Source organism: Homo sapiens, chromosome 16 (genome assembly GCF_000001405.40).
Source record: "Homo sapiens chromosome 16, GRCh38.p14 Primary Assembly".
Taxonomy (NCBI): Eukaryota; Metazoa; Chordata; class Mammalia; order Primates; family Hominidae; genus Homo; species Homo sapiens.
Genome location: NC_000016.10, coordinates 63,590,932 through 63,618,461, shown reverse-complemented (window position 1 = coordinate 63,618,461; position 27,530 = coordinate 63,590,932). Strand labels below are relative to the sequence as shown.

At 38.0% G+C, this 27,530-nt stretch overlaps 1 long non-coding RNA gene across 3 annotated transcripts in view; it reads left to right on the top strand.

Moving 5' to 3' along the window:
• Nucleotides 1-415: 415 nt before the first annotated feature.
• LOC105371308 (uncharacterized) overlaps nt 416-27,530 on the top strand; it is a 512,336-nt gene continuing 485,221 nt past the window's right edge. For all 3 annotated transcript variants that reach the window (XR_001752232.2, XR_007065221.1, XR_007065220.1), the window contains exon 1: nt 416-769. This is a non-coding gene — a long non-coding RNA (uncharacterized LOC105371308). The remainder of the gene's footprint in view (nt 770-27,530) is intronic.

Sequence of the window (27,530 nt, the reverse complement as noted above, 5' to 3'; positions counted from 1 at the left end):
GTGTGCACATGCTTGGGAAGGCACTGACATGGCAGCCCCCTGCCTCCGCAGCCCCCTCCAGATTTTGGGTGCCAACAGCATGGGTGGGAGGCCGCGGTGAGGCTGAGAGTGGCTTGGCGCAGGCCTGCAGGCGTCCCTTGGATCAAACAGCTTGGGCGCTGTGGGCATGATTGATGGTGGCAGGAGGCAGAGAGGCTCCCGGGCAGAAAGGGGTGGGTACCTAGTGAAGCCCCAACTTCAAGCCAGGGACAGCCTGAAGCCTGGGGGCTGGGCTGTCAGTTGGGGTGGAGTCCATGGCTTGGAGTGAGAACTTATAGGTGCTTTTTCCAGGCCCGCCCATGGCCACCCATGGACCAATCAACACGCACTTCCTGTCTTCTGAAGTCCATAAAACTCCAGACTCACCCAAACTCACAGACATCTGGGCTGCTAGCTGCATGAAGGAGCTACCCGCTGTGGGTCTCCTCTTTGCTGACAGCTGGACACTTGACAGAATGACCTGCCTGAACTCGGGACCTGCAGAATGATGGGACTGAAGAAGCTGTAACACAAACAGGGCTAAAACACGCACTCTCCTCCCCCTGCTCCCCACCGCCCCACCCACTTGCCACATTGGAGGTGATGAGAAGGAGAGAAGAGCTGTGGCCTTTCAGGGAGCATAGTCCCAGGGGCTCCCTGAGCCAGGGCTGTGAAACCCTCTTCCGGGCACTGCAGTTCCTGGCATCTCCAAACTTCTGAGTGCCACCGCATTCCCCGCGTCCGGATGCAGGTAAGAGGTGACAACGTGCTCGCAGCCCTCGATCGCTCTCGGCGCCTCCTTGGCCTCGGCGTCCGCTCTGGCCGCGCTCAAGGTGCCCTTCAGCCCGCCGCTGCGCTGTGGGGGCACCTCTCTGGGGCTGGCCAAGACCGGAGCCGGCTCCCTCTGCTCGCGGGGAGGTGTGGAGAGGGAGGCGCGGGCGGGAGGCGGGGCTGCGCGCGGCGCTCGCGGGCCGGCACGGGTTCCGGGTGGGCGCAGGCTGGGCGGGCCCCGCACTCCGCCAGCTGGCTGGCCCCAGCTGGGCTTGTTGTGGCGGGGTAGGGGGGTGGCGAGCTCCCTCTGGGCTGCGGGAGTGCCCGGGCTAGGTGCTGCAAAGTCCCGCGGTGAGTGCCACTGGGAGGTGAAGCCGGCTGGGCTTCTGGGTCCGGTGGGGACTTGGAGATTTTCTGTCTAGCTAAAGGATTGTAAACGTACCAATCAGCACTCTGTGTCTAGCTAAAGGTTTGTAAGCACACCAATCAGCGCTTTGTGTCTAGCTAATCTGATGGGGACTTGGAGAACTTTTCTGTCTAGCTAAAGGTTTGTAAACGCAGCAATCAGCAATCTGTCAAAACGGACCAATGAGCTCTGGGTAAAGTGGACCAAGCAGCTCTCTGTAAAATGGGCCAATCAGTAGGATGTGGCTGGGGCTAGTTAAGGGAATTAAAGCAGGCCACGGGAGCCAACAGCTGCAATGCGCTCCGGTTCCCTTCCACGCTATGGAAGCCTTGTTCTTTTGCTCCTTGCGATAAATCTTGCTGCTGCTCACTCTTTGGGTCTGCGCCGTCTTTATGAGCTGTAACACTCACGGGGGAAGGTCTGCAGCTTCACTCCTGAAGCCGGCGAGACCACGAACCCACCAAAAGGAGGAAACTCTGGACACATCTGAACATCTGAAGGAACAAACTCCAGACACACCATCTTTAAGAACTGTAACACCGTGAGGGTCTGCAGCTTCATTCTTGAAGTCAGCAAGACCAAAAACCCACCAATTCCGGGCACTCAGGTACCTCCAGCAGAAGCTGCATGTAGTACATCTGCTCTAGCCACAGCCTCCATGGAGCTGGCCACTGTGCCAGTGCCTGGAGCCACCCAGCTGCCACAGCAGCCAGTGTGCCTGGCTGTGTGCAGTGGCCGAATCCCACGCTTACTCGCCCACACACCCCTTGCCACTCTGCCTGCACCTGACTAGCCCTTGGCAGTTGTGGGATCTGGGCTGGTAGCACGAGCCAAGCACAGCCTGCTGGACCAAGTGGGTGGAACGAGGTCAGTGGGCACAAGCAATACTCAGGCAGAAGACACTGCCAGCCACAAAGGTTTCCAGCTAGCGAAGCAACACCTCAAGGATCCCGTGACAATATCACTGTGCCGTGACTCCTCAGAATTATCTCTGTTTAACTTACTAGATAAATCTAACCAGGATACATTAAAAACTGTACATTTATTCTGGCATTCAGTGAGGGCTAGAAATGATATTGTGATCATAGGTTTTTATATCCTGGTTGAAGCCATAGGTACTTGATGGAGCTTTGGTCTTAGACTTCCTCTTGGTTAACTATAATGGCTTAAAAGAAAGAATGAAACTATGTTCTTTGCTGCAACATGGATGCAGCTGGAGGCCATTATCCTAAGCAAACTTAATGCAGATACAGTAAACAAAACACCGAGTGTTCTCACTTATTAGCGGGAATATACATTGGGTGTACATGGAGATAAAAATGGGAATAATAGACACTGGGAACTACAAAAGAAGGGAGGAAAGGAGGTGGGCAAGGGTTGAAAAACTACTCATGGGATACTGTGCTTACTATCTGGGAAACATGTTTAATTGTACCCAAAACCTCAGCATCATGCAATATACCCTTGTCACAAACCTGCACATGTACCCCTTGAATCGAAAATAAAAGTTGAGGCCGGGCGCGGTGGCTCACGCCTGTAATCCCAGCACTTTGGGAGGCTGAGGCTGGTGGATCACGAGGTCAGGAGATTGAGACCATCCTGGCTAACATGGTGAAACCCCATCTCCACTAAAAGATACAGAAATTAGCCAGGCATGGTGGTGGGTGCCTGTAGTCCCACCTATTCGGGAGGCTGAGGCATGAGAATCGCTTGAACCCAGGAGGCAGAGGTTGCAGTGAGCTGAGATCACGCCACCGCACTCCAGCCTGGCAACAGAGCGAGACGTCTCAACAAAAAAAGAAAAAAAAGAAAAAAGGAAAAAGGTGAAATAAAGGCAACTGTAATAGCTTACTAAAGCATTTCTATAGCAGGCAGGCATATATATTTTTGTTATACAACAAGCAGTATAAATTCTATATCCCCTAAACTTGAATTCAAGACCTTTTTCTCAAAACTAGCTTTATAAGTTGTAGCTCATATCTCAGTGAATGGAAACTTCATGTACAAGATACACCATGTTGTTATAACCCAACGTACTTTTAAGGTTGGAGTACATAATAAAAATACATTTCTTTAATAAAATAGCAATGACTTTGTATTCCTACAACTCATATTGGCATGAGACCCAGTCTTTCTTGGAGACTTGCTCACCAAATATTCCATGGGTCCTACGAATAAACACTTCCCAGAAAGTCTATGGGTGAAAATAATTATTTCCATCAGCTTAAGAAAAAAACATAAAGCCATCTGCTTCCAGCCACACAAGAGTATAACTGTTACAAGACTTTTCTTCATACTGAAAGAAGCTATACAGCCAGAAAAAATATGTAAATTCTCTATGTTCAGACAATGAGCAACAAGTAGCACATGCTTGTAAAATTTTAGAGCAAGCAGATTAGGTGAGTCCAACATATTTCCTGGCTTTCTGCTGTAGGCCTGTAACATGCTTCAGATCAAGGAGATAAAGGCTAGACAGAGCATGTGGAACCAGAAGAGACAGATCAGTGCTCTGAGGTACTGAAGTAGCTACAATGTTGGAGTAAGTTACCAGAGAATAGGGAACTGGAAAGAGAAAGGATACAATTCTGCATGAGCATTTATTATAGATCCTAGGCTGAGGGGTGTGTTGTTTTTGCATAGGCTGAGTCACACGGAGGACTGGCAGAAATGTTAATAAAGAGCTGAGAACTGAATAGAAATAGCAGAGTTTATGTAGGCCTCCAGACATAGAAATTCTGGTCCAGTCAAGGTTAAGAGACCTTATTGAATATCTTAGGCATTTCACTGAAACTCATGAAAGACCAAGCAGGTAAGAATCGCATACTACTTGGTCGGGCACGGTGGCTCACGCCTGTAATCCCAGCACTTTGAGAGGCCGAGGCGGGCGGATCACGAGGTCAGGAAATCGAGACCATCCTGGCTAACACGGTGAAACCCTGTCTCTACTAAAAATACAAAAAAATTAGCCTGTTGTGGTGGCAGGTGCCTGTAGTCCCAGCTACTCGGGAGGCTGAGGCAGGAGAATGGCGTGAACCTGGGAGGCGGAGCTTGCAGTGAGCCGAGATCTCGCCACTGCACTCCAGCCTGGGCGACAGAGCGAGACTCCGTCTCAAAAAAAAAAAAAAAAAAAAAAAAAAAAAAAAAAAAAAAATCACTCACTACAGTTAGAGTCACGTTTTAGAAGCTAGGCCAAAAGATAAAGAGAACTAATAAAAAATAGAACTAAGACTGAATGCTGACCAGGAGATAACAGTCAGTTACCAACAGAATACAATCAACATCCTTTAAGGGAAGATGGCCTCTGGTATTCCCCACAACTTATTACTCCCAGAGTCCAGCAAGTAACAATGAAGTAAAATATAAACCAAGGTTAAATAGGAAGACATGAGTCATACTAAAAGTAAAGTCAATAAAACAGACCCTGAGATGACTCAGATGTTTAAATTAATGGAAAAGAACTTTAACACAGCTATTATAATAGAACTGAAATAAAAACACTTGTGATATATAAAAAATGGAAAATAACAGCCAGGAAATAATAAATATAGAAACATACTAAAAAGTGCAGTATAATTCCAGAAGAGTAATGAGATGTTCTATAGACCGACTCATTAGTGAAACTCATAAAAATTATACAGAAAGAAGCACTTGAAGTCTCTGGAAATGGGCCTAATATCATACAACAAATGAAGAAACATTTATTCAAGAGTGTCTACTAAAACACAAGGAGAAGAGAGTGTGTAGCATTTGAACCAGTCGTTTCTTCCTTATCCTCTCCCAGCTCCCAGTGTGACAGAAACTCCATTCTAGATGAGTGCAGTCAAGAACACAGGAGTTTTACTAACTCTAATTGCCTGTGTAGGTCTACAGTCTCTTCCAATAAATGGTAGGACATCATTAGATACGTTAAAAATACTGAGTTTCAGATGAGTGTGCCCAGGAAGGAGATGTATTATTTTTTCACACAACCTCCACTCATAAGATGGAGAGTCTACCTTGGGCATGGTTCACCATGAATACTGGAATTCTGGTTATTCTTGACCCGGATCTTTAGTAAGGTGGAATGCCCCATGCTGGAAGAGGTAAGATGAAAAGACTAGAGGCTACTGACTTCCCTCTGTCAAATAACCCGTTTCTAATTCAGAGGTGTCATGCTGAAAGAAGTGGGCCATTGTGTCTGTTTCCAACTACAAAGTAGTGATTCAGGGATTTTGCCCAGATGGAGAGACAGGTTACAAAAAGGAGTGCTACGAAACTTCCCCCAAAGAACTGACTTTGCATCAGAATGTGGGGAAGTTAAGCTCAGTGGTTCTTTCAAAAACAATGGAGATTATGGTGAAAAGTAATTAAGAGAAGACTGGTACCTTCATTACAGATGAACTTGCAAACTAACTTGCAGGCTAACTAGTCTATCAGAGAAAACCAGGAAAATAGACTGGTAAAAATAGCCTCCTGAGATCAGAACATATATTGAGTACTAACCTCAAAATGTATCCTGCAGGGGTCCAAATTGAATTGGACAAGCCTGTATAGAATGCATTCCCCTAGACATTGTTGCAAACAAAAGAGCAAACAGCAGGCAATTAGTGGAGCTTATCTGCTACATCATGAGGGGAAGACAGAGAAAAAGAATGCTGAGGAAGCCACTGCCATCTGAGGGTGACTATAATTGTGTTCAAGACTCCACCCTCTGTGGAGCAACATCAGAAGCATTGTACTTAGGGGAAAGAGTAATGACTACAGTAACAAAAGGAGTCACTAAACAAATATACAAGCAAGAAAACATAAGTCTTGGAGGGCTCGGTGTAAGTAGAATTCAAAGTTGCTACAATATATCATAGAAAACATCCTGTTTACAACCAAAAATTGGGAGTCAGGCAAAGGAGAAAGGAAGCCTGGCTAGTACTCAAGACAAAGTATAGGCATTAAAAACTGCCCGTGAGAGCAACTCTGGGTCAGATAGACAGTGACTTCAAAGTAGCCATTATAAAAATGTTCAAAGAACTGAAGAAAACTATATTTGAAGAAGTAAAGGAAGTATATTGGTAATCTCATCAAATAGAGAATATCAATAAAGTAATAGAAATTATAAAAATAGAAGCAAATAAAAATGAGGGGGTTGTAAAACACAATAACTGTTATGAAAAGTTCACTAGAAGTGTTCAGCAATAGACTTGAACTACAAGAAGAAAGAGCAAACATGGAGATAGATTAATAGATATTATGCAGTCCAAATAACAGAGTAAAATAATGCAAAGTAAATGAAGAAAACCTCAGAGAAATGGGACACCATTAAATGAACCTACAGATATGTAACAGGAATGACAGAAAGGAGAGACATGAAGGAGCAGAACACTGTATTTGCAGAAATAATGGCTGAAAATTTTCTAAATTTGATAAAAACCCACCTATACAAATAAAAACTTCACATAGGATAAATACAGACAATTCACCACAGACACATCATAATAAAAGTATTGAAAGCCAGATAGAAAAGAAAATCTTGAAAGCAGAAAGATAAAAATGGCTCATTACTTACAAGGAAATCTCAATGACAGCTATGTTCTCATCAGAAGCAAAGGATGTTAGACGGCAGTAAAGATATTCAACATTTTCAAAAGAATAGTACTGCCAACCATGTCCCAATAAAGTCATCTTTCAAACATGATGTTGAAATAGACATTCCAAAATGTAAACAGAAGTGAGAATTTGTTGTTAGAAGACAAATATGTTAGAGAATTTATGTATTTTTCTGGCTGTATCTTGTAAGAAATTGTAAAGGAAGTTCTTCAGGGTAAAAGCAAACGACCCCAGAGCATAATTAAAATTCACACGGAAAACAACACTGGTAAAGATAATTATGTATATATAAAAGGCTTTATTAATATATATTTATTTTACTTTCTTCTCCTAACTGACTTAAGAACCAACTGTACCAAATAATATACATTTGTATTTTGGAGGTTTTTAACATATAAAAATGTAGTATATTTGAGGATAACAGCACAAATAAAGTGAGTAGAAGAAAAAATGGATTGTGGTAAGAATTTGAAACTAGTAAGAACCATATGGATTTTAAAATAGTTTTTCTAGTTCTGTGAAAAATAGTCAAAACAATCCTAAGCAAAATGAACAAAACTAGAAACATCATGCTACCTGACTTCAAACTATACTACAGTACTACAGTAACCAAAACAGCATGGTACTGGTACAAGAACAGTCACATAGACAAATGGAACAGAATAGAGAACCCAGAAATAAGACTGCACCCCTACAACCATCTTATTTTTGACAAATCTGACAACAACAAACAACAGGGAAAGGATTCCTTATTTAGTAAATGTTTTTGGGCAAACTGGCTAGCCATATGCAGAAAAATGAAACTGGACCCCTTCTTTACACTGTATACAAAAATCAACACAAGATGGATTAAAGACTTAAATGTAAAACCCAAAACTGTAAAAATCCTAGAAAAAAAAACCTAGGTAATACCATTTAGGACATAGGCACAGGCAAATATTTCATGATGAAAGCACCAAAAGCAATAGCAACAAAAGCAAAAATTGACAAATGGAACCTAATTAAAGAGCTTCTGCACAGCAAAAGAAACTATCAACAGAGTGAACAGACAACCTACAGAATGGGAGAAAATTTTTTCAATCTATGCATCTGACAAAATCCTAATATCCAGCATATATAAGGAACTTACACAAGTTTACAAGAAAGAAAGAAACAGCTTCATTAAAAAGTAGGCAAAGTACATGAACTGACACTTCTGTAAAGAAGACGCACATATGGCCCACTATACATATAAAAACTCCACATAGGAGAAATACAGAAAATTCACCACAGACACATCATAATAAAATTATTGAAAGCCAGATAGAAAGGGAACATCTTGAAAGCAGAAAGATAGAAATGGCTCATTACTTACAAGGAAATCTCAATGACAGCTATATTCTCATCAGAAGCAAAGGATGGTTCTCTATTCTGTTCCATTGGTCTATGTGTCTGTTCTTGTACCAGTACCATGCTATTTTGGTTACTGTAAACACTATTTTAGTGAATATGCGGAAATATAAAAACTCTCATACATTGTTGTTTGCATACAAAAAGGTACCATTGTTTCACAAAACAGTCTTCCAGTTACTCAAAAAATTAAACATAGAGTTGTTTGATCCAGAAATTCCACTTCTGGGTATATATCAAATAAAAATGAAAGCAGGCCAGTTGTGGTGACTCACGCCTTTAATAACAACACTTTGGGAGGCTGAGGTTGGGGGATTGCTTGAGTTCAGGACTAACCCGGGCAACATGGCAAAACCCCGTCTCTATAAAAAAATAAAAAATTAGCTGGGCCTGGTGGTGCTTGCCTTTAGTCCCAGCTACTAGGGAGGCTGAGGTAGCAGGATCCCTTGAACTTGGGAGGTGGAGGTTGCAGTGAGCTGTGATTGTGCCACTGCAGTCCAGCCTGGGGATACAATGAGACCTGTCTCTAAAACAATTAATGAATAAAAATGAAAGCATACATACAAACAAAAACTTGTACACAAATGTTTATAGCTGCATTATTCATAATAGCCAAAAAGTGCATAGAACCCAAATATCTGCCAGTTGATCAGTGGATAAATATGTGGTGTTTCAACATGATGTAACATTCAACAATAAACTGAAACAAAGTACTTACATAAGTTATGGCATGGGTGAACCTTGAAAACAGTATGTTATGTTAAAGGAGACAATCACAATAAGCCACATAATCACACATTATGTGATTTTATTCATGTGAAATGTTCAGAATAGTAAAGTCGATATATAGAGAAAGTAGATTTAAGGCTGCCTGAACCTGGGTGAGGAGGGAGAGAGATTGTGTGTGAGTAGGTCGTCAGGGGGCTGTTCCCATAAAAAGTACAGGAACTACTTCAGGGTGATGAAAACGTTCTAAAATTATATATCAATAAATCTGCTACAAAAAAAATAATCCAACACAGCGCTACGCAGTGGGGATGCTGGTCACGTAAGGACACAGTTAAAATAGGCATGCTGATCATGATGACATAAACAAAGCCAAACAAACAAAACCTGCCTTCTCAAAAGCCAAGGAGAGACCTTGCTTTTGTTTTTGTTTGTTTGTTTTCTTCTTTTTCTCATTGCAGAGCTGAAATCACTAAAACTCAGTGTGGATAACTGTCTTGCTATTGGAGACCCACATATCTTGAGCTCCAAAACACTTCATATCAATAGTAAAGCATTTTCAAAAAGTTAGCATGGTTCCCATTTTGAGTTAAGAATTTTACATATAAAAATTTATTTGGTCCTCACAACAATGCTAAAACATAGGCATTGGTATTAGCACCATTTTAGAGATGAGAAAAATGAGGCTTAGAGAGATTAAGCAACCAAATCAATGTCTGATAATCATTAATAACCAGAGGCCTGGTTCTAAATCTGTTTTTTTTCTTTTCTCTCTAAGCTAATTTCTTCTCTTCTGGAGCTTGCTAGTTTCAAATATTGTAACTCAGGAAAAATACTAATCTGTTATAAAATTTGATTTGATAAAATATAATTCAATATGAGAAACATTAATATGCTTGGTAATTTGGGAGAAAAACATTGAAAGCTACTTGGATACGTTGACATCCAAGCAGGGCCTTAACAATATTCAAAATTAGACCCACAGACACAGAGAAAAAGACCATTAGTGCATATATAGATTGTCTTCAATCTATATATGAAAATATTTATGTATATTTAAAACATGCCATGATCTCGTCTTACTGCAGTTTTTAAATAATTAACATTTTATATTAATTCCACTTTCATTTAATCAGCTTTTCATTGATAATTTAAAAACCCTTATACTTTTAGAAAAATCCAAAATATATCTACTAATGCAAGTTCATTGAGTTGTAATATGGAGGCAAAAAAAAAAAAAAGGAAAGGCACTGACACTTCTGTCTAATGGACAGAGATGTAAATGAGCAGTGGTAGATCAAAGGAAAAAAATAAGCACCTGAATTTGAACACTGCCAGCCTGGATAAGAATGAGAGAGTCCATCTGTCTGAGATGGTAGAAATGTGTGACCCCTGGAAGAGATGGAGAGGGATCCTTTAAACATGAGAAATAAAAATGTCACCAAATTTTTGAGGAAATATTACTTCCCAAGAGGAGAGTAATGAAGCAAAAGCAAAGCTCCAACTGCCAATAGCTGAATTATTAAAGGAAGAAAAGTAGAATCTGTGGACAGGTGCAAACTTGTCCAAGAATTGAAGAAGCTTAATCCAACTCTTCAAGAGAATCACAAGGAGCTTCATTTGACTTTTGTCTGGATACCTTAATGGTTCATTTGCTTTAAGATTGTAACATTTTTAAGAGTTCAGTTCTTTTTTTCATGCGTCTCTATTGATTCTCTCCCAAAGAGGAATAGTCACAAATCCATGTCAAGATAGGAAAAATGGGAAAATAAAGTGTCTAGTGTTACACCAGGGCACTCATCTTATAGGTGCTCCCAGTTAGCTACCTCAAATACAAGTATACCTTTGAAAAATTTTCCTAGTAGGTGGAAGAGGATTAAAACTTGCACTTTGGGTCAATAGAACAAGGTTTCATCCTGGCGCTGCAAAAATATTTCATATATGATCTTGGACAAGTTAATCTAAAATCTTTAATGTGGATTTTTTATTTGGAAGTGCCTTTTGATTAGGGTGTATTGTGAAGATTAAATGGAATAAAATATAGAGAGTACAGCTGTTTTTCTCTTTTTCTTTCTCTGAAATGTCTACTCTGCTCTGGTTCTGCCTCTCGGAACTCTCCCCAGAGGGGCAGCTTGAATTCTCTATATCATTTTCCTAGGCTACAGAAGAAACAGTTTAAGGCTAAGGAAGAAGTCAAATTCATGAATTATAGTTTGTTGGCCTATGTATAAAAATAAACAATTTGTTCAACTGTGAACATACAATCAGAGGCACTCAGAAGCTTTATTTATTTTCTTTAATAGTGGTAAACATGTACAATTTACACTATCATTAATCATCTAGATGCAGGAATTCAGAAATGCTGTCTATAATGGACAGCAATCAGTTGTCCTAATTCAAGGATCTAAAATAAATTTAATGCATGAACACATTTATTTCTGCAGTTGAGGAATTCATTAGCTTTTTCAATGAGTCTCTTACATCTGGGAATAGCACAGATTACATAGAAATGCACATATATATTTTTGCATATGTAAGTATGTGCATTAAATATTTTATAAGGTGTTACTGTAGTAACTGTCTTTAATTGACTATGCTGTAACCTTATTTGATATTTATAACAATATATTTATGCATACAGTAGAGTACGTATGTGTATGCATACACATGCATAATTTATATTATTTCACTTATGAATTAAAGAAGAGTTTTATAATTACTGTGGAGCATCCTGTGATGCACTGCACAGATTGCCCTTCAGGAACTAGAGGCTCATTTTTCCATCTGAGGGAGTGCTTCCAAGATGACCCTTAGCTGTCAGTTGTCAGCCCCCTCCGTGGATTGTCTCAGATGTAGAAAACAACATCATTCAGGGGTCGTGTCTCTTTCCTGGGCACCATGGGAGTCCAAAGACTTAGTCCGCAAATCTGAACAGGCATCCAGCTTTCCATCTGGCCAACACCTCCCTTTCTCAGATGCTTATCCTAAGAATTCTCCCTGCGAAAATATCCTGCCTGGTTATCTCTATCTCAGAATCTTTCCTCCAGAGAATAATACTCGAAACAAAGACCCAGAAGGAAGGGTCAGCTGAAATGGCGTAAATATAGACAGTTAAACAAAGGCAACAAAAACAAAAACAAAATATGATCATTGCTTTTTTTGAGGATAAAGAGGAATGGAAAGGGCTATAATAAAACATAGTGAGGGTATCTTCCCTAATAGAGGGATGATGCCCACTTTACATAGAACACATTAGTTAATTGTGCTAGCACTAGAAATTGTTTATTCTGACTATTTGGTTCCGCCTCTACTTAGCTGTGTATCTGTGGGTACGCCGTGTAAGCCTTGGAATACCTATGGTGATCAGGTGAGAGCACTCTTGGCACCTAACCCCATGTCTGACAATAGCAAGAATTAACTAACAGCTAACTAACTAAATAAATAAATAAAAACAAATACATTATAAAAGCTATAATTATTAGATCTTTACAAGTTTATCCACAAAGTAAACTTATATATTCAGTTATTTTTAAGTATCTCAGATGAGCAAATGGATTGATAATGAATCATTTTGAAATTGAGAGGCCTCAAACAAAGGTTCACTTGTACTGAAAAATGCCATTTCTTTCCATTGTTTTCCTACTGATTACCTCTAAGCCAAAATAGACTTTCTTGTTTCAGATAACTTGAAGAAATAAATGATAAACATTTTTTAAACACACAATGAGAAAACATTAAACCAAAACCAGCTATATTTGCAAATATGTTCACCACCCCCAGCTCAAAACAGTAACTTGCATACAAATCACCCCAGATTGAAAATCATAATATAAATGACAATACCACCAATCCTTTAAGTATCATGTAAGCACTAAAGGGAGTTTTATGAAATAACTAATAATACGTGGTGAAAGATTACATCTTGATGTTAGGTGAGAAAATATCAGGATGTATATTTTAAAATATGAAAATTTCTAGAAGAAACCATAACAACTGTGGGTGTGATTTCACCCAAGTTGGAGGGTATGGGTGGTATTATTTACTTCTTTACATTTTTTGAACTTCCAAATTGTTAATAAATGAGCATAGAATCCATTGTCGGAAACATATATATAATTGTCCTTTTTTAATACATTTATTTTAGGTTTGAGGGTACATATGAAGATTTGTTACACGGGTGAAACTGTGTCACAGGGTTTGTTGTACAGATGATTTAATCAGCCAGATATTAAGCCTAGTATCCAATAATTTCCTTTTCTGCTCCTCTCCCTCCTCTCAACCTTCGCCTTCAAGTAGATCCCAGTGTCTGTTGTTCACCTCTTTGTATTTGTGAGGATTTATCATTTAGTTACCACTTATAAGTGAGAACATGCAGTATTTGGTTTTCTGTTCCAGCATTCATTTGCTAAGGATAATAATCTCTAGCTCCATTCGTGTTCCCACAAAAGCCATGATCTCATTCTTTTTATGGCTGCATAGTATTCCATGGTGTATGTGTACCACATTTTCTTTATCCAATCTGTTATTGATGGGCATTTAGGTTGATTCCATGTCTTTGATTTTGTGAATAGTGCTGCAGTGAACATTCACCTGCATGTATCTTTATGGTAGAATGACATATATTCCTCTGGGTATATACCCAGTAGTGAGATTGCTGAGTTGAATGCTATTTCTGCTTTTAGCTCTTTGAGGAATTGCCGTACTGCTTTCCACAATGGTTGAACTAATTTAAACCCTTACCAACAATGTATAAATGTTCTATTTTCTCTGCAACCTTGTCAGCATCTTTTAAAAAAATAATAGCCACTTTGATTTCTAAAGTGAAGAAAAATTAAAAATACAGCTTCTAAATACAGAATTTTAAAAAATGTAGTCAAGGAGGTAAATTTGCTCTAAGCATGTAACTAAACTGGTTGTGGCTGTGAAATGTTAAAGAATGGATGTTAAAGAATGAAGTAAACACTCCCAAAATAACTATGCACTTTTTTGTAATAAAAATCAAAATAGTCATAAAGTCTTGGTTAAAGAGAATGCAATAAGCAGCATCCTAATTTCTTCTAAATTATGCTTAGTTAAATCACTGATTTTGGTATTAAATTAAATCATTTTATAAGAAGCCATATCAGTTCAATATAAATTTTCAAAGACATACAAGTACTAATGTAACAATGCAGGAGATTTCAGAAAAAAATCACTTTAATTCCCTGGGATTTAACTCAGAGTCTTTTTGTCCCTGTGACATATTTTTATTTCAGCATTGTCAGAGAAATCATAGAAACTTGGCTTGATGTTAACATTTTGCTATGAGTAGAAAAAAATGCTTTAATAAATTTTTGGAGGGAGGAGTAGATATATCTAGCTTACATAAAACCGTAAACTTTATTCTAAGACATCCTGTATCGGCAAACAATAAATCACAAAATATTTGTGTTATTTATGATGACAGTATATCAGGAATTTTCCATTCTCAATTGGGAAACTTTGGTACTTCTACTCTCCCTGGTCTAATTTCTTCCAATTTCCCTTATTTCAGAAATGCCTAATATACTGTGGGGTATAACCTTTCCTGACACACATCCAACATATCCATTCCTTATTAATAAACATACAATATTTCTTCAAGTGGAGGGGAGTAAATCTTCCTTTGCTATTTCAGGTGATTTTTGTTTTCCATAATTATGAATAGCCTCATGATTAATAGTGACTTATGTTGATATTTTCATAATGTAAACATAAATCAAGGCATTCGTGAATGGTCAAAATAATTGCAGAAAAAGTATTAATATTTTTAATTCAAAAGAGTCCAATCAACTGGGCTTGGCCTTCCTTCTAGTTTCATATCCCTTGAATTCTGTCCTCAAAATATTTCCAGCATCTTGAAGTCTCAATACCCTACCTCAAATATCTAAAAGTCTGTTTTTCTACCTACTCTTTCTTCTGCCTAAATTGTTCCAAGCTTTATTTCCAGCCACTAAAATTTTTCTTTATTTTCTCAATAAACACAAATGTAATCTCCTGTGTAAAGCCTTTTCTGCATATCCCACTTAGGATTAAATACTTTTATTTTTATTCCATAGAAATTCACATACCTATATGTTAGCATTTGCCAAATTTTACGGTTATTATATGGTTGTGATTAGCAGATTTCTTAGACCCAGTTTCTGCAGATTTGGCTTGGAGGGACCTTGAACTTTGTATTTCTTATGTCACAGTCATATTTCCTTAGGAACTCTAGGGTTAAGATAAATGCAGAATATAGTGGTGCTTCACTTGCTACTTGGTGACACACCTGGTTTTGTAGAGCTGTGTGGTCAGGACAATTTTAAACCTATGTGACTCAAATAGCATAAAAGATTGGTGGAAGCCTGAGGTGGCTTCTTTTCTGTATCAAAGTGACTTGCAGATATCTTGGGTCTTATTTATAGAAGCCATGCATGGCCCATATAGGTGAGGAGATGAAAGAGGCTATGTGCTCACTCTAGAAGCTGTCAGGTCTCTCAATGATGAAGATGCTATACTTGATGCATTTATTGCCCTGCATACTTTCATAAAACTAAGCTAACATAGTGTAAGATGAAAGCTTATTTTTGTTTTATGAATCTGATTGTCTATTGCAAATAAAAACCCATACCATAGCTTTGGTTCTCTAAGTGTATATATATGTATACATGTGTCCCCAAGTAGCAAGTGAGGTTAGGATTGTGGAAGTGGGGATGCAGATGGAAGTGAGGTTGCGTATGGGGATGGGGTGGACAGGAGTGTGTGTGTGTGTATATATATACACACACACATATACATATTTATTATATATTCACATATATATTTATATATACTATATATAATATATGCATATTATGTATATACTCCTGTCCCCACACCATCCCCTCCCCAACCTCACCTCCATCTGCATCCCCACCTTCACAATCCTAACCTCAACCCCATCCTCACCCTATTCCCATCTCCACCCCCTCGTTTCCTCCAACCCCATTCTCACCCCCCATCCCCACCTCCATCCCCATCTTCACACCCACCCTCATCCACTCCCCTACCCTAAACCCTGTCTCCATTACTATCCCCGTTTTCACCCCTGCTCCCCAAGGAATGCCCTAAATGGAAGCATCACCATTTGCTTACATTTCTGTTTTTTAGTAAACTATGTGCTGTGCTGTTTTCTTTAGACAATGTTTTAAATCACTAATCCTAGATGTATCATATATTTGGTTTATAAAATAACTTATTTTTAAAGAGTGCTTTTATAAAAACAGGAAATATGTTGAAAAGATGCTATTATGTTTCCTTTGTTTCTAGTGGTTTTGTTTTGTTTTTCAATGCAATTGTGACCTCTTTTATAAGCTATACACAACCTCTACATCTACTTTGACTCAAACTAACACTGTGGGAAACGTAATTATCCAAAATGACATTCTGTAAACATGCTGTAATGACGTTCTATTATATTAACTTTGTTGCTTCCATTATCTCGATCACTCAAGAGTCCTCCCGAATGCCAAAGGTAAATCTTGTCTCTTACCTTAATGATCCATACACTGAAATTATTGCCTAGATTTTGGCATAATCCTTTGTGAGGTTTGAGGACACAATTAGATAACAGAATCCAGAGACATGTTTTGTGCTCAGCATACAAAAATAGATGATGTAGAAAGGTGAATTTTTTTTAAGTTCATCTTGCTATGTAATTCACACGTTGGCAGATGAATAGGAAGAATATTTAGCCACGGTATTACAGTACCTATTATTAAGAGAGCTGGGGCAATTCTGGCTGAATGCTAGGTAATTAACTATGATTTGGGTTGATTTCTGTAGAATTAAGGCTGGTAAATAGAGAAAATCTTAGAAATTATATAAGACAAAGAGGAAAGATAAATTGTATGCTAGTGAAGATACAAATAAGAATCAGTAGAATGTCAAGTTAGGGCATCATATAGATAAAATGCACCTAATGAAGTAAAAATTAAGCCAGGTTAGGCATAAGTTTAGGGAGAAAATGCTTCCACATTTGGATGAAAACATATGTATGTATAAGTGTATTCAACTTTTATAAATGACCCAAAGCTATTGGAAACTGGAGATAAGTATTAGTCATTAGCTCATTTCATAAAAGAGAGGATTCCTGATTCTGGCAACAAAAATTCATTTGTTTTTCTTTATTCTTTTGGTGTTTACACATTTTGCTAAGAAGCATCTATAGTTTATTTCCAATGCTTAGCAGAGATTGGTCTCAATTTCAGTTCCTAGGGATTTCCAGGCTTTAAAAATTTCACAGAATACTAGCAAGAGAGTCCGTGTATTATTTTTGATGAGGATAAGGGCATATTTAGTTGGGAAATAACAGCAACCCAGTCCCAAAAGCAGTAGAATCATATTTCTAGAGATGATATACAAATGATGATATGGTAGAACCAGACCTGCCCCATGGTAAAAATTAAGAAACAAAACAGTTTTTGATTAAAGCTAAGGTATAAAACATCAACATTTAGAGTGAAATCAACAGAAGTATCAAAGGAATTGTACTATGCTCATTGGAACTCCTCTAGACTCAAAGCTGAAAAAGCAGAAGACAGAAGCAAAATGGATTAAGAGTTCAGAAAAATTACACATTAGACATATTTCTCAGAAACCTTAACATAACTTTTCCTTGACCCTCAAAACAGATAAATGGTTAAGGGGGATGATGGAAAAGTCTGTTATCAAAGTTTTTACATTATATGGATGTCCGTGATTCTCTAGTTTCTAGTTCTAGTTCATGAGTCTTATTTATGTTGAATCTTTCTGTAGCAGAAGAACCTGGTTCATTTAGAATAATGCCAAAGATCTTAGAAACTTTTATCTCTTATTAATAACCACATTTTGAATAAAAAATCCTTAATTCTCTAATTATCTCACTGAGGCATGAATCTCTGGGGACTCTAATTGGACCCAGCATCTTTCCTAATTTAACATCTCCTAGAACATAGTTAACCCAATCTAACTACAGTATGCCCTCTCATTATTTTATCTTTAAACTATTAATACAAAATGGTTAGTATATTAAAATAAATATGTTTATCTTTTTTTTTCTGACCATCCTCATTTTCTTAAGAGAAGAATATTGGGAACAATCACATCACACATTTGTGTTTTTAGCAAACATTTTTCCTGAATTTCTTGAATCACTAATTCCCAGATTTCTACATGTATAAGACTAACTTGATAATGTTGATAAAATGGATAAGTATAACCTCAGATATTCTGAATCCAATATTTTGAACTACAGACTATGATTCTACATTTTATAAAGAAATCTCATGACTCTGATATTGGTGGCCCAGAGACTGTGCCTAGAAAAGCACTTGTTAAAACATAGGCATTGTTTAACCATTTCAAAATTAAGATATGTTATGCACATACTCTGTTTTCAAGGAGCACCCCAGGAAGGAAATAGAAATCCGGGAAGAAAGAAGGCATAAAAGGAACTGTAAGAAGAAAACATATGACAAGAGCGGGGAGAGATAATATAAAATATTGAGTAGAGATAATATAAAATATTGAGTACATTTTATCTTCCATGCACTCTATAGGGCATTTCATATATGTTATAGATTTTAGAAAAATGGAAATGAGTTTTCATTTTTGCCAATGAAGAAACCAAGGTTGAGTTAACTTAATGAATCAGTCAGAGGTCTCATAACTCCTAAGGAGCAGAATATGAATCTCACCCGATGTTAGTGCTTGTAAAATATCAATGGTCTAACCTTGACAGAGCAGCAGATGGGAAAATGTGTACACCTTTAATTATAATGTACATAAGACATAAATAACTCCAAAATACAGATACAACCTACTTACGCGGATTAGAAAGTAGCACAGTGGCTGGGGTAGGGTAGGCATTCAATAAAAGTCATTTTTTGCTTTCTCTGATTGAAGAGGTTAATTGAGGGCTCATTCCATAAGACCAGTGTTGGGCTGGCATAGTGGCTCATGCCTGTAATCTCAACACTTTGGGACACCGAGGCAAAAGGATCACTTGAGCCCAGGAGTTTGAGGCTGCAGTGAGCTAGGATCCTGCCACTGCATTCCAGCCTGGGTGACAGAGAGAGCCTGTTTCTAAAAATAAATAAGTAAATAAAATAAAAAAAGACCAGGTGATATGGCAAACATATTTGGCTTCCTAATTATTAATTTCTTGTTAACATTCATGAGAACAGGATCCGGGTACACTGAAGGAAAGTTAAATCCTGAAAAATCTCAGAGATAAAACCAACTCTTGCTTTTTATGATCAAATGAGTCTCAGACAGTGTAGATAACTTGTTAAACATCACAATGAGTCTCAGAAAGCGTAGATAACTTGTTAAACGTCATTAGCTCTGCTAGCAAGACTTTTCATAACATGTTTCCCCTTTTTCCTCTAATACTCCCCCAAACACAGCCTGACGTCCTTCCATACCAAATGTAGTGAGTATTGTGCCGTTCCTGCTACTCAGATCTTCCCTTTTGGACCAAGGCACTCTTTCTCCAGTGGAAGCTGAAAGTGTAAATGGCAGAGGGCTGTCAGTTGGTCTTCTTTGGGGAATTTTTCCAAGACAGCTGCTTCATCCAAGATGCCCCTTTAATGATGAAGCCTAGCTGCCTCATCTGAAGGCAGGACAACTCTGATGGGCCGACCCATCCCCAGTGTTCCCCAAGCTATTGTGAGCCTTTTACTGCAGCTCAATCACAGTTGAATTCCCCCGTGTCAGACCAACCCTACTGCCTTCACTCCCATACGAGTGTTGATCCTGAGAATTCTCTTAATATGTAAGCCTCCAACTATGAACCTGCTATCCTAGGAAATAGACTTAAGACATCAAATTTTTAATTATTCCCTTGAGGTTCTCTGATTTCCTGTATATTGATGACTATGAAATGCCACCTTTTCCGATAATCTCATTTCAAGGACAGCTTTGCACCCCTCTCTACTTAAATTGTACATTAATTAGCAGGAATTAATGATATATTCATTTATTATAATTTTAGGAATGTTTATTAATGGAAATGTTTAATTATTATTATTAAGACAGTGTCTTACTCTGTTGCCCAGGCTGAGGTGCAATGGTGCTATCTCAGCTCATTGCAGCCTCCACCTCCTGGGCTCAGCAATCCTCCCATCTAAGCCTTCTGAGTAGCTAGGACTACAGGGACTACAGGCATGTGCCACCATGCTTTGCTAATTTTTAAAATGTTCTGTAGAGACAGGGGTCTCACTATATTGCCCAGTCTGGTCTGGAACTCCTAGGCTCAAGCTATTCTCCTGCCTAGGCCTCGCAAAGTGCTGAGATTACAGGTCTGAGCCTCTGTGCCTAGCCAACAAAAAAATTTTAAAAGATATAGATGGAATGCATGGGAAATACCAGGGATGTCCCTTCCTGAGCTGTGGGGATAGTAACAACAGGGTGGTTGCTACCCATAACCCCAAAGGAATGAGAGTAAAGAAAGTATATAGAAGAAAAGCTTGTAGGAAAACCACATTGAGAAGAGGTAGGGCTGTTAGCTGAGGGAAACAGTTCAAATGTACTCTGAAGGGGAGAAACTTAGGAAGTAAATACATTGACACTGAGAGCAAGGTGTTGGGTGTATTTGGAAGGGAAAAATGAAGAGAAACTGACCACAGAGAATAGGTATGTGCTTAACACCATAGATTAATAAGTAGTAATGTCAGTTAAAACCACCCATAAGAGTGTCTATTCCATTATTTGATATACCAAATAAATATATACTATTTTATAATCATGATATATTTCTACATTTAAATCTTAGGAGGATTTTGAGCTTTCTATCGAGAGGGGCTAAATGCTACTCATATCATATTTCTAACACCTAGCACAGCACTGGATATAAAGCTGGTGCTTATGTCTTGTTTATCTTTTACCAAATAAGAGTAAACCTGCCTCTTTCTAAAAAGCTTTTTACTCTTTTCTTTGTATGATAATTTTCAGGGGGATGTACGTGGGGATGTTTAAGAGAGTGGAACATCAGTACAGAAACTCAGAACAGGTGACCAACCTTGGAGGTGAATGGGAAGATGGCTTTCATATCCATAATGCCATTATATTCAGAAAAAAATTTTTAAAAAGTTACATGACTGAGTGGCTGAAAGGAGTTAATGACACAACTAGGATGAAAAATGAGTTTTTTCATTTCTAGCCCCACCAGTTCTTGATAACACATGGTAAGACCTCCTTAAAGGAAAAAAAAATATATGAGTGAACTACTAGTGTCTCCAAGAGCAGACAAATATATTGAGACATCATGTCATTAAAACATTAAAACACAATCTACCTCTCTTTGAAAATAAGGAGGTTACCAAAATATATTGTCAGGGAGAATTCAGCTTTGATGAAAGGAATCAGAATAAACAAATCTCTGATCTTAATTACTCACTGTTGAGTCTATGGCCGTGTGTTGAAAGGATGAAGGAAAGTTCATCAAGAAAAAAAACCAACAAACAAACAAATGAGAGTCATTAGCTCTTGAGAGTTAATCAGATAATTGTACACAAAGTCCTTCTTATTTTAGGCCAGGGTGGAAAGAGAAAGGGAAATATAGGCCTACCAGGGAAAGGCTCTGCCAGGCTTCACAGGCCAAAGAAACAGGCCCCAGATGGAGTCCCGTGGAGTTCTGCCATCTCTTTGGCTGAGCTGAATTGCTGCCATTTGCCTGCATCTGTCAGTGCAAAAAGCAAAATCTCTCCCATCTCACTCTCCTCCTTTTACCTAAACCATCCTCCCCAGCATTTTCAAAATATATTTCATTTATTGTCTTATTATTTCTTAGAGACAAGAGCTGGGACTCCTTCCCCACAAAAAGCAACCCACTTCCCGCTGGATGGGCACTTTTCTGCCTGGAGCAGGTGTTATTTTTAAAAAATACCAAACAAAAATCCTTTAACTACTATAAAAAGCATAGCTTTAGAGGATTTATATAATTTTCAGAGCAAATGGCATTAAGAAATTTGCTCTTGCACCTGCCTACTCTTCAGATTTGCATAAATGCTGGTTGCTGTACCAATGAAGCATGGCATTTGGTTCTATTTAATGCAAAAACAGAGCCCTGTCCATCTGTAAAGCATCTTCCAAAAGAGTCACAGACACTTATTTTGCTTAAACACACAAAAGAATAAGGGAGGGTTTCCAAATTTCATAGTAAAAGAAATTTTTAAAATGCAGAATATTAGAAATTGACAGGAGAAGCCTATGTACATATTTTTGTCTCCATAAAATTTAAGTGTCTACCTGAATATGTTACATGCCAGATACTTGGCGTTTAATTGTGGTAGAACTTCCTTAATAAAATTAATCAAACAAGCCTAGTTTGAAATTTATAATGTGAGCAAATGTTCTTAAATTCTACTACCATCAGTGATGATCTCATCCAACAAATTGTCAAGGACCCAGAGTCTTCAAAAGTTAAAATATTTTAAAAGATAAGGAGAAAAAAATAGCAGGGAAGTTCAAGCTGAAATAATTGAAATAATAACTGCTCTAGGTACATAAAAGAAATATATATTTCTTTACATCTTGCTTCAAATGTAAATCTTTTCATATATGTTGCACAGAGTGAGGTAGTGAGCTTTCCTAAACTTTCATCTCCACTACATGCTATTGCATGTAAATTATTGTGACTAATAGTATAATTATAGTTATATAGCATTCAATATTAGTGAAAACAAATGTATCTTCTATATTTCAGCTTATAGAGTTATCCTGGAAATAAATATAAAAATGTAATTATTCTGCTAAAATGATATCACTTCCCATCCATCACACATAAGAAAATGTTAAAGCTCCATATTTGGGTTTGCTGACTTCATTTCTAACTTCTTTTCCTACTGACCTTCTACCAGCTTTCTTTAAATCACTACTGACATTTTGAGCTGAACCATTTTTGCTGTTGGGTAAAGGAGCTGTCTTGTGCATTGTAGGATGATTGGATGCATCCCTGGCCTCTACTCACTAAATTTCTATAATATTGCCCCACAAGTCATTACAATTAAAAACGCGTCCAGACATTACCAAATGTCCCATGGGCACAAAATTGCACCTCACTGAGAACTACTGATCTGAGTTTCATGGAACTCACATAGATCTTCAAACACACAAAACCATTTACACATGAGTTGTCTTACTTACCAATACTTTTTTTTTTTTTTTTTTTTTGGAGACAGAGTCTCGCTCTCTCACCCAGTCTGGAGTTCAGTGGTATGATCTCAGCTCACTGAAATCTCCGCCTCCCAGGCTCAAGCGATTCTTGTGCCTTAGCCTCCCAAGTAGCTGGCATTTCAGGAGTGTGCCACCATGTCCAGCTAATTTTTGCATTTTTAGCAGAGACAGGGGAGCGCCATGGTGGCCATACAGGTCTCAAACTCCTGGCCTCAAGTGATCCACTCGCTTCAGCCTCGCTAAATGCTGGGATTAGAGGTTTAAGCCACCATGCCCACCCACATTTCTATTTATTCATTACCATCCAACTCATGTGCCTTCGCTTCTGTGAAGTTTTCTATGATTCTTCTAACAGTTAATTCTTTGCACCACCATAGACATATTCCTATTTTATTACATATTATACTGTATTGAAACAGGTTTTGTCTTTTTCATAAATATCTAAATTTATCAAATGTAGAACTTTTATTTTTTTATACAGATTTTGTGTGTGCTATTACCTACTATAATGACTGCCACATGACAAACAAGAGCTTATGGAATATATTTGAAAAGGTGATTGAGTGATCCAGTGAAAACTAAATCAATCAATAAATATTAGTCTATTTGCCACGTCCTGGCACATAGTAGATGCTCAATAAATAAACGTTGAAAGAAAGGATGAATGAAAAATGTAATGTAACGTGACTAAGAATGGTGGGAGCCTGTATAATACAGATGCCACTACAGCAATGAATCCCACAGCTTTCCTGGATAGTCATTTCAAATTATAAAACCTCTCAGAATATTAGCTTTTAAGCCTAAACTAAGCTGTTCACGTGAAAAAGTATCTTCATTTCATTGTGGACGTTCTGAATGAAATACACCCCTGTTTGAATTTATCTATTCTAACCTTTACTAGAATAGAAGATGAATCTTATGTGACCCCGAATAATCTTCAATCCATGAAAAATAATTACAATCCATTTACCTTTTCCTCTCATTCTTACCCTTTTGTCACAGAGAAATTCTATTATCCTTAAATTTTTTGTGTGGTTTAACATAAACTAATGACTGCATATTTGTGCGGTGAGAGTTCATAGTCAGAATCATGGTAAGAATGCCTTTCAACATGAATTTGTATTGTGCGTATTTAGTAGAGAAAATACAGAGAAAGGGAATAAGGTAACGGAATGTTTGTAAACTGTTTCTTCTCTGACATCATGTAAGTCAGAAGTAAGACAGGTCATAGTTGATGTCTGGACCCTTAATAACATATAAATTGGTGAAACTTGAGGAAAAGATAAGGGGCTTGTCTTTATCCTCTTCTCGTTCCATTTCAGTTTTTGTGACAAGCATAAAATAAGCCCCTTTTCTTCCACATGCTCTCGGTGAAGTAGCCACAAAGACTCTTCCTACGTGATTGCTGGGATACTTAGGAACTTTTTTATTTTGATTTGAATTTAATGCATTTCCAAAATGGCAAGGCATTTTGCAGTGACTTGAACATCAGCAGATATAAGTACAGCCGATTAGTGTAGGATGAAAAGATAGCAACATCATTGAAATAAAGAGAAAAAGGATTGGTGAGGCATATAAAGAGAGAAAATTTAGGTACTCATTTCCACTTAAATGTAGGTGCTTAATGATAAATCAAATAGAAGACACATATATATTATTATTATGGGTAAGACCCATTAGCATATAATTCACAAACCAGCTGGGATGTAGCTGAGTTTAGAGTCTCTAGGCACAGTTTGAAATCTTGGCTCATTCAATATATCATCTTTTTTTTTTCTTTCTTGAGCTCTAGTTATTCTGTTTTGGACACTGTATTTTTATATAGTTCTTACAATGTATACCTGTTGATGTAACAGTGAATAAAGATTGCCTTATTTTTGAGAATCTAGTACAGTTTTTGCTTTAGAGTTCTAAAAATAGGGTTACAAATATATATGTGTGTGTGTGTGTGTGTGTGTGTGTGTGTGTGTGTGTGCGTGCGCACCCACCTTTTTAGGTAGGAGCTGAAAATATCAAAAATAGTATTTTCTCCCATAGTCATTTTTCATGATTTTATGACCTTTTTGTTCATGAGCAATCAGCTTTCCTCCTCTTCATGTTATCACATAAATATTGTGTTTGTGAAGATAAAACTCAATGGCTTGATTCATATATCAATGTATCAAATAACTTACACAAAACTATTTTCTAATATTGAAAAGCAAGGGGAAAAGTTATTTATCTCCGAAATTACAATTTGTTTGTGATTTATCATCAATGTGTACACAGTTTCAGAAAATCCCATAACCAGATTTGTTTTTCCAGAAGTAGTGTTGGGAAGATGACGTAATCAGCTTTTCACATTCTAGAAAAATGGTTGCTCTGGCAGGACAACAAAAGGCAGCTTAGAAAACAGTGAAATGCAAGCAGATTGGGAAGCAGTGAACTTAGATTTTAGTTAGACTGTCAGGGTATATTAAAACATTCCAAATGAGGCAAATATAATCACAGTATCTTCTACCGTATATTGAACTGATATTTTACAGGTGTGTCTCTTCTACTTGATCATTCTGTTCCTCTGAATAGAGATCTTGCCATAATCAACTTTATAGCATTTTATGGCACTACCCAGTTGCTGGAACGTAGGCAGACAATAATGATTTTCATTTTTGAAAGAAAGAGGACATGTTTTCACTGAATTTATAGAGTTGAGAAAGGAAAATAAATTTTGAACCATCCGGCCCTTCCCACAAATCACTAATCTAAAGGGAAAAGTCAAGCTGGGAACTGCTTAGGGCAAAGCTACCTCCCTCACAATTTGCCCACAAGGAAATTCCTGTGGATAAAAGACAGACAGAACTCAAAGTCATCCTTCTGAGGTTCACCTGAAACAAATATATATATATATATTTATATAATTTTTTTTAAGCTCGTTGCCCAGGCTGAAGTGCAATGGCATAATCTTGGCTCACCGCAACCTCCGCTTCCCGCGTTCAAGTGATTTTCCTGCCTCAGCCTCCAAAGTAGCTGGGATTACAGGCATGTGCCACCACGCCCCGCTAATTTTTATATTTTTCATAGAGATGGGGTTTCTCCATGTTGGTCAGGCTGGTCTCGAAGTCCCGACCTCAGGTGATCCGCCCACCTTGGCCTCCCAAAGTGCCAGGATTACAGGCATGAACCACTGCGCCCGGCCCTTCTGCCCTATTTTTTATGTAAAAATGCAAACTCACTGACCCAGACTAAACGTGTATTCAGTGGAAGGCTGATCAAGGACTCAAAATAATGCAACCTTTTGTCTCTTATCTACTTCTAACCTGGAAGGCCCCACTTCCAGTTGTCCTGCCTTACCAGACTGAACCATTGTACATCTTACATATATTGATTGATGCCTTATGTCTCCCTAAAATGGATAAAAGAAGCTGTACCCTGATCACCACAGGCACATGTCCTCGGGATTTCCTAAGTCTGTGTCACAGGCGTGTCCTTAACTTTGGCAAAATAAACTTCCTAAATTGAGATCTGTCTCAGATATTTGGGGTTCACATTCATATAACTTGATTTACTCTATGGAAATAGGGTTCATAACATTTACTCTGCCTCTCATCAATGCTTATTCTTATGCGTATATTGCAAAATGTGTGCTCACACATGTGAACACACACACGCATTATTTTCGTTTTTAATTCTCAGTAATTATATGGCAGTTTTCTTGCCATTATTCAGGAAAATGTATTCTACAATTGCTTTTACTTCATAATGAATCCTCTGTAGTGAGGAAGAAGTGTTAAACCATGGAATCTGGAATGGAAATGATGTGACCCAATGAATTAACAATCTCATTTCTTTCCTCTCATTGTACAAGCATCACAAAATTTTCTAATCCCATTTTTATTCTGAATATTCATAGTCCTTTGATTATGAGGGGCTTTTTTTTTTTTTAAGAAAAGAGAAGCTTCATTTGTAGTAGATGTTAGGGTGGGTCTACTTATTCAGAATCACTTCAGGTAATTTAATAATTTACATTTTTTTCATGTGTGTTTGAAAAGTATACTCTGTTACAGTCAATAGGTACTGAAGTCACTCACATCAAACCTTGCCTTCTCATTCCCTCTCCTGTGAAATGAAAAATATGAATCAAGAATTACCTTATCTTAGAGGCTCAGACTGTTAAATTATGCCAATTTTCAAGGCAGCTCAAATGGTTAGATAAAATGTATTTGAAAATCAGCATTTTGTACCAATCACTTGATTCAGTCTCATTAGATAGCATTGCCTTACTCCCAGGCATCAATTAATGCAATGGCTAGAGGATGGATTTCTATATATTCCTGGCCTTACTTTGCCATCAAATTAGGTGCAGAGAAAAATGAACACAGAACAGTAGGCATGCAAAGAAAAAAAACAATTAAAATGACTTTGAATGTGATTATATGAAGCAATAGAAACATTCTGAAGCCAGAGC